The sequence below is a fragment of the Homo sapiens genome, chromosome 18, assembly GCF_000001405.40.
Source record: "Homo sapiens chromosome 18, GRCh38.p14 Primary Assembly".
Taxonomy (NCBI): Eukaryota; Metazoa; Chordata; class Mammalia; order Primates; family Hominidae; genus Homo; species Homo sapiens.
In genome coordinates this window covers 25,691,032-25,700,160 of record NC_000018.10, presented here as the reverse complement: position 1 = coordinate 25,700,160, position 9,129 = coordinate 25,691,032, and positions in this window count along the sequence as shown.

Genomic DNA, 9,129 nt, shown 5'->3' with positions numbered 1-9,129 from the left:
GCAGATTTGAGATCACCATAGGATAGCACAGGAGTTCGAAGAGAAGAGGGCAGTGGAGAGAACTTAGTGGGGAAGCAGGCCAAGAGCAAACAGGGCAAAGGTCTGAGCTGGAGAAGCTGGAGAAGCTGGAGAAGCCAGGACGGAAACGGACTCACTGGATGGTGGAAACTAAGTGAGGAGAGAGTTTTAAGAACAGGTTGTTCCACAATGTCAGCTATAAAGAAATCTTGGAGGATGAGCACTGGCCATTAGGAAGAAGGACCTTCATTCATCTGTGAGAGGTTACTCTAGAAAAATATGAGCATAAGCCAGGTTGCTATGAAGAGAGTCACTAAAGAGAGGAAAGAAGTGAAAGAATTGAAAGCAAGTTAGAGTTGCAGATCTTGAAGGTGATAGAATTCTTGGTCATGATGAAGTTCAGGGTACGGCAATATGTATGGTGACTGAAGTAGAGAGGAGATATGCTTGGCTGGAATTAAGGAGGGATGGACAAAGGAAGTGATAAGGAGAAAAATTGTGATCTAATGGCCACGGCACTTTTAGAAAATAAAAAAGTATCCTGGTGACTGAAAGGAGAGAATGGGAAAAATATAATACCAGAAGACATTTTAGACTTTGGAAGAGAAGGTTCTGTTAAATATTATGTCAGACAAGGGCCAAAAATGATAGGCTCATATAGAATTTTATTACTTGGACCCGGGCTCCCACTAAAAGTTTCTGTATTTGGAAAGCTCATGGTCCATTTTTTTATTTGCCTTATTTTTTACTATCTGAGTATCTAACTAGATCACCTCTCCCCCTCCAATGCCTTTTTTTTTGAAAGCTAAAACCAAACAAAAGAAGTTACTTCATCAGGAAGTTGTTTTCTCCAAAGACCTTTTTTTCTGGGGATATATTATCTATTATTTTAATAAATATCTTACTGCTGGAAAGCTAACTCAAGAAACTGGGAAGATGCTGACATGAGCAGCCTTGTATAGCTGAATGTTGGTTCAAGTGCCTTGCTCAGGAAGGTCAAGGGTGGGAGTCATCTGTAGATGAACAAAAATACCTTGAAAGAACCCAGGGGAGCTAATGGAATGTCAAATTGTAACAGCTGCTAGGGACACAGGTCTTCAGAGAAACTTTATACTGATGAGGAACTCAACTGTGTGTGTTCTATTTATTCGTCTGTCTGTCTACCTACCTACCTACCTACCTACCTACCTACCTACCTATGTATCTATTATCTACCTATGTGATCTATGTATGTATGTATGTATCTACCTACCTACCTGTCTACCTATCTATGTACCTATGATCAACCTATCTATGTGTATCTATCTATCCTATCTGACCTACCTATGTATGTATCTATCTACCTATGTATGTATGTATCTCTCTACGTATGTATGTATGTATGTATCTATTTGTCTGCCTGCCTACATATGTATGTATCTCTCTGTCTACCTGCCCATCCATCCGTCTATCCATCCATCCATCCATCCGTCTGTCCTTCCATCTGTCATTCTATCTACTGCTTCTGTGTGTGGAGGGGACTGTATCCAACAATCGGCCTGAGAAGGCATCCAGAGTGGTAGGTGAAAAAGGATGATCAACCAGGAACAGGCGATCAGATAGAGAGAATGAGATTCAAAGAGGAAGACTCAGGCATGACAGTGGCTTCCATACCAGCTTGCAGGTGCACATATCCGTGCTACATGTATTCATTTCTGGCTGGAGGTCTGGATATACTGCTTCCATTTTAAGCAGTCATCATGGTGGAGGCTGAAATGGACTGGCATGTATAAGCATCTTGCCAGAGGTTGTTAAGTTTCTTTAGGGCCTGGATACCAGCAACCACAGCCTAGCAAAGGATACCTTTACAACTCTAACACTTAGTTTTTGGGGATTACTATTTAAAATTTTAGCTCTCTGAGCAATAATTTTTGTTGAAATCAGAGTAGTAGAGGCTTAATTCTAAGGGTGCTGTTTTTTTTTTGTTGTTGTTTGTTTTCAGCCTGGGATCCTCATCTCCTTTCCTTCACTCCCAGTGTAGGTTAATAAAAAATATGTTGTTTCCATTTATTTGCACATAATCAGGTTTCACATGCTGAAGTGCAGTTACTCGTCCCCACCTCTATAATTAATTCTCTTAGTAGGCTTATTTTCTAGCCTTAAATTAATCTCTCCTTTAGCCAACTAATAATATTTAGTGCTGTGGGAGAGATGTAAAAAAAAGGGGGGGAACATGTTTCTACTCTTGAAGATCTAACAACCCAGTGCTTGATGTACAGGTACTTGATATACATAAAAAAGACATAAGCATACAAAAAGAAAATCAAACAAGTGAAAAATCAATGCAGCTGCATAAAAGTAACTAACTCAATCAATACATGTTTGTTTGTTTGTTTTCAGAGGGAATGAAGGAATGCAAGACATTGGGCCTGCATGAGCCTATGGGTGGGAGTGCCTGTAAACAGAGGAGTCCTATAGAGGATTGTGGGTCAGGCAGAGACAAGAGCTCTGAGGCCAGGTGACTGGGCTGGCAGAGTCAGGGGTGGCTGACCAGGGTAGGTTTAAAGATACATATCAGAGATATTAGGTGCAATAGCTCTTACAGTTTTTCTAACAAAGGGTTGTAATTTATTTGAGTACACCACAATCAAATAAATATGTGCAGGTAACTCTTGATTAAACAACCTAATTTGCTCTCATGAGCTTTAAAACTCTGTCATTTTATTCCTTATGAATTGCAGTCGTTTTTTCCATCCCCTTTGTATGCTTGCCTTGTACTTTTAGGTGGACATTCCATGTTTCTCCTTCCTACACAGTTGAGAAGAGTTTTTTTGAGAAAGTTATTATGTAGTGCCCATGTTGCAGCTCTGGATTTTCTGCCCTGGTGAACTGGACCCATTATCTTCTCTCCTGAGCTCTCACAGGGTGAATGAAATGAGTGCCTTTTCTCTAGGGGGTGACTTGAGGGTAAGAGTCTTGCCTTATCAGCTCTATGTCCAGCATAACGCCTTATACATAGCAGGCACTCCCAGCGCACAGATGGCCAATTCTACTTGCCTTTTCTGATGTTACAGGGAAGGAAAAATGAGGACTGTGTGCTTTCCTCTTGCACAGATCTTAGGTTCATTGTATTTATGGAAACAGAAGGGGATGGGTCTTCACTGAGAGTTTGAAGATGAATACGTACAGTGTACATGGAAGTCCAAAGTCTGACCGACTCTATCTCAACACTGGCAGCCTCATAAGTTGTTATTATCAGTCCTGCAATTTTTAAAGCACTGCATAAAGCTTTAGCTGTTTGATTCCCATTGACTTCCAGCTATTGTACATTCACATAATGGAAGCAGTTTGTCCACATGAATAAAACATCAATAAGGTGTATGTATAAGTGCCATTTAAGAAAAAAATAGAGGAAGTAAAGCATACTTATATATAAAAAAAACAGGGAGGCAAAGGGACCAATTTTCTGGTTAACAAAAGGTTCTCACCTAAGTGAAATGTCTCAAATCATTCCCCTGTATCAGATTCAGGTGGGGGCATTGTCTCCCACATGCCCAGCGAAAAGCAAAGCTGCCCATGCAAAAAGTGAGAACTAGATGGTATTTTTCCTACAATAAGTTTTTACATTTTTGATCTTTTTCATTGATTTTAAAGAAGGACAGGGCTGCAGGAACCTTGGGACTACCTCTTTAAGCCCCCTGAGCAGGAGTTAAAAGCTGGCAGCCCCAGCTGGCTTGCCTCCGTCCCTAACAACTCTTGCTGAAATTAACGTGGCTCAAGCAGGGGTCAGGGCTGCCAGTTGTCCAAAGACCAATCATTGGTTTTAAGAAAAATCCCCCTTTTAATGATTCACGGTTGAATTTGGATTTAAACTCAGCTCAACAAGCAAACAAAACAAAGAGCTGTTGGAGAGGTTGAGTTTAAAGCTGCCAATGTGCTGCAAGTTGTGAAAGGTTATGACGTCCACAGGTCTGAGGGTTTTCAGCACCATAGCCCTAGGGTGCAAAGAACTGAAGAGGAGACAGTGACCACAGGTGACATTGTGAATAGCATGCGAGTGTAGTAATGCTCAATTTCTTCTGCTCCTGCCCTGGAATATCCAGGTTCCATGCAAGGTACTTTTGTGGCATCTGTGCTAAACACATTGCATGCTGCCAGGTGCTGAGTGGGTTACAAACCATGTGAAAAACAAGTTCTGCTCCTAGGAGCTTAAGATCTACTTAAGAAAATAAGGCATATGCATATAAGAAGAAACAGAGTTGAAATCCAAGATTCTCAATCCTGGCTGTGTCAGCTCATCTGGTGAAGCTTAATCACACACATCCACACATGTATGCATGCATACACAGATCGTACACACACACCAGCAAATGCAAAAGAAATGACAAAACAATTCCCTGGCTCTACTTCTGACCTCTTAGTGAATCAAAATCCCTGAAGATAAGATCTGAAAATTGTTTAAAAAATTCTTCTGATTGATTCCTATTCGCAGGCTAATATGTATGAAAACCACTAACCCAGTTGGCAAATGGTTTCAGGTAAGAGATATGGGTAACTCATGCCCAGGGAGAAGTCACTGGGCTTTCACTGATGAGGGGATGCTTTTCAGAGGAGACGGGAGAAGACTTATGTGTGCACCTGCTCAGCCTGGTCAATGCGAGAGTGTACTGATGAGCCATGGAACCAGAAAAGGTGGGGCTCCTGGAGCCAGGTAGAATGCATACCCTCACATCCTCACAGCTTACAGTATGCCTGAGCCTGAACCTATCTCAGTATCTCAGACTGAAGTGAGACGTGGGCCAGGAAGTCATGCAGCTAAGCCTGTAATGAAAAAACAGAGATCTAAACCTTGCACATAGTTGCATGTTGGGAATACTAAAGTTTACCATGGGATGAAATAGTGTAGGCATAAGCTGCCATCCCCTCATCTCTGCCGTCCTCAACCCCTCATCAGTAACCCATGGCTTGGGGGTAGACAGCTTCTCTTTTTGCACAGAAGAGCACAACTGCTTTCCCCAAAGGTAGGCACACACATGCACACACACAACAATATTTCTGCCACTAATATTTGTGAAGCCTGGGCAAGAGAACAAATGGAGGCCCACAGGCCTTATATCCAAATGTTAAACATACTGTTAAATAAAATATGCTCTATCCACTTGCTCTGACAAGTATTCCTTCCTAGACTCTGTAGACAAGTTTCAAGTTTAGGATTCTTGAACTTCAGGAAGTTCTTTGCTGGAAGGCAGTGGAGCAGGGAGAGTCACCCCAAGCCTGCTGCACACCCCTTCTTTCCACTCTCCTAGTCTGGCCCTGCACCAGGAGGGACTATAAGCAAACACCACAGATCATACATTTAGGCTCCATTCATAAGTCTGGCAAACAATGGCTCCTTGGCTATCCCATAGCCTTGGGGTGCCTATACAGGAAGTGCAGGGCTACTATCATTCAGAACTTTGAGAAGTACAAAATTTCATATGAATTCATTGCATCATTATTATTGGAATGTGCCTTCTTAGAGCCTCTTATCTACCAAATGCAATAAGAATGTCTGCCTCCATGCTTTGTTACTCATCACCATCTTTACCCTCAGAGTTAGCAGCTTCTACTGAATTATCCTATATGCCAGGTTCTTTGTCACTAGTCTTCAATCTTCCTCACTCTGATAGGCATATCCTATAATTTTCATTTGCAGAAATGGAGAAACTGAGGCCCAGATTAAGGTACTTGCATAAAGCATGCAGCTACTGAGTGATAATATTGAAATGGGTGTTTAGGACTATATGACTTCAAAGCCTATTTTGAAACTCTTTCCACTACACTGTGCTGGCTCCTATAGTTAAAAAATGTTCCATATAGTCTAAATATGATGCGACATGTTTTTCCCTCACAAAAGAGATAATTGCCTTCTGTTCAAATCTTTACAAAATCTTTTCTGATGTTCTCCCTCAATTGTTTTATCCTGAAAAGAAATGCTACTTAAGGAAGCCATATAAACCTAAAATAAATTCTATCAATACCAATTTGGGTTTCTCATGGAGGTCTCCTAATCTAATTTTGGCAGTATGGTGGACTGGGTACTCTGAGGGTTCTTTGTAGAACAATTCAATCCCAATAGGACACAGCTGTTGGCAAATGGTTGGGCTGATAAAAGATTGCAGAGATGCCTGAGGAAACCCCCATCTTCTCCAAATGACTTAACATGAGCTAAGGTGGGAGCTTGGAGTAACGAGCAGTGGTGGGCATGTTCTGGGTCTGTGTCCATAAGGTCAATGAGCCTGGGGCTTTGAGCCAATATTCTTAGGGAGGGCAGCAGTGGTCCTTTGTCACTGGTGCCCTGTAGATGACAGAGAAGCAGAGCTAAATCCTTTTTGCAGGAAACCATCTCCAATTTAGGCTCATAGAATTCTCACACATTGAAATTGAGCATTGAGTTCACCAGAAAAAAAATCACTAAACACACCAGGGGACAACTATCATGAGTGACTGTCATCAGACACACATATAAGAGATTCAGACCCATGAGCACAGTAAATATTGAAGTTGTTAAAGACCATAGAAAAGCTATGATGGAATGTTTAATGAAAGGAAATACTCAATAGGTCGGTTAAATAGCAGAGTAGACCAACTAAAAAGAGAACTGAAAGACATATCTGGGCCAATGTTGTCCAATAGAACTTCCTAAATGATAAATTTCTGGAGCTGTGCTGTGCGATACATGTGGCTAATGAGCACTTCAAGTGTGCTTAGTGAGGTCGAAGAACTTAATTTCTAATTTTATTTAGCTTATTTAAATGTAAATAATCACATGTGTCATGGCTATAGTATTAGGCAGTGCAGATCCAGGCCATAAAGCAGCTATCGATAAGTTTCAAAGAATCAGTATCATGTAGAACATATTTTTTGATTAAAGTGCCATTTCAGCTTGACTGCAAATGGATATGAGGGGTATCTTCTGGAGCGATGGAAATGTTCTAAAAGTGAATTGTAGTGCTGGTTGACAATTCTATACATTTACTAAAAATCATTGAATTCTACATTTATCTTGGGTAAATTTAATAGTATTGTAAATTACATTCCAATAAAGTTAAAAATGCAATTAGAAGTCAACACCATTAATAATAAAAATTCTCATATCTTAAAAATTAAAAATTACTCTACTAAATAATCTATGGGTCTGGGAATAAATCATCATGGAGATAAAAGAAACACTTAGATTTGGAAAGTAATGGAAACATAGTGTATCACAATTTGCAGGGTAAAATGAAACTAATACTTTAAGGGAAACTTATAATCTTAAAAGCTTGTAACAGGAAGGAAGACTGATAAAGAGCAACATTCTGCTTAAAAAATCAGAGATAAAAGAGAACAAACATAATGAAAGTAGAAAGAAGACAAAGATGAGAGCAGAAATCAATAAATGGAAAACAGAAATACAACACATAGGATTAACATGACAGTTCTTGAAAGAATTGGAAAATTTAAAAATCTCTGACAAGACTAAGAAAAATGACAGAGGTCACTGATAAAAATAATAGAGATATTAAAAATAGTTCTATAACTTTAGATAAAGCATAGATTACAAGGTATACTAAGAGTATGCCAGTAAAAATGGAAAATTTAGACAAAATGGACACATTCTGGGAAAATAATAGTTAAGAATAAACAGAAAATCAGAATACTTGTACAATTGGTAAATAAATGAACCTTTAGTTAAAATTTTCACAAAAGATAAGTGCCAGTTCTAGATAGTTTTACAGGTGAAATTCTACCATATAGTAAATGGAAAAGATATTTAAGTTTTATATGAAGTCTTGTAGACCACATAAAAAGAGTGAATATTCTCCAACCCAATCTATGAGATGAATACAACCTTGACAACAAAACGTATCAAGGATGGTCCTAGAAAGGAAAATTACAGGCCACTCTCATGCATGAGCATTAATAGGAAGATTCTAATAGCAAATTAAATCTAATAGCTAACTAAATGAAGTAAGGGACAGAAACATAATCAACCATGAGTAAATTGCATTTATTCTTGGACTGAAAGGTGGTTAAGTATAAGAACACTTATAAATACAATTTATTACCTGATTAAAAAGAAATCATATCATCTTAAAAGATGACAAAAATTCAACAGACACTTAGGATTGAAACAAAGTGAAAAGATACTTTAAAAATTTAGGACAGTAAGGGAACGTCTTAACCTGATAAATGGTGTCTACCAAAACATCATTCTCAGTAGAAGGAATGTTGGAGATATTTCCTTAAAATTGGGAATAAGCCAAGGAAATCAACTATCATTACTTCTCCTCAACTTTGAGGGTCCTAGCCAGTGCAGTAAAATAAGTAGATGCATAAGTATTAGACAAACTACCACCACAATAAAACAACAACAACAACAACTTATTAGGAATAATGTGAAACTTTAAGCAAATGAAAATTTAGCAAGAAGGCAAGAATACTAAACGTGGTCGGGTGCGGTGGCTCATGCCTGTAATTGCAGCACTTTGGGAGGCTGAGGCGAGTGGATCACGAGGTCAGGAATTTGAGACCAGCCTGGCCAAGATGGTGAAACTCCATTTCTACTAAAAATACAAAAATTAGCCTGTTGTGGTGGCGGGCACCTGTAATCCCAGCTACTTGGGAGGCTGAGGCAGAGAATTGCTTGAACCCGGGAGGCGGAGGTTGCAGTGAGCTGAGATCATGCCACTGCACTCCGGCCTGGGCGACAGAGCGAGACTGCTGTTTCAAAAAAAAAAAAAAAAAAAAAGAATACTAAATGTATTTGTTTTCTATTGCTGCGGTAACAAAGTGACATGAACTTGATGGCTTAAGACAAAAAACATTTGAATTATTACAGTACTGTAGGTTAGAAGTTCAACACAGGCCTCTCTGGGCTAACATCAAGGTGTTGCCAGTCATGTTGCTTTCCAGGGGCTCCAGTGGAGGATCTGTTGTCCAGCTTCTAGAGGCCACTCACATTCCTTGACTGGTGCCCTGATTCGTCCACCTTCCAAACCTCCTTCTGAAGTGACAGATCCCTCTGATGACAGTTGGAAATGCTCTTTGCTTTTAAGGAAGCATGTACTGAATTGGGCTCTTGCATCTAATCCAGGATAACCTCCCCAT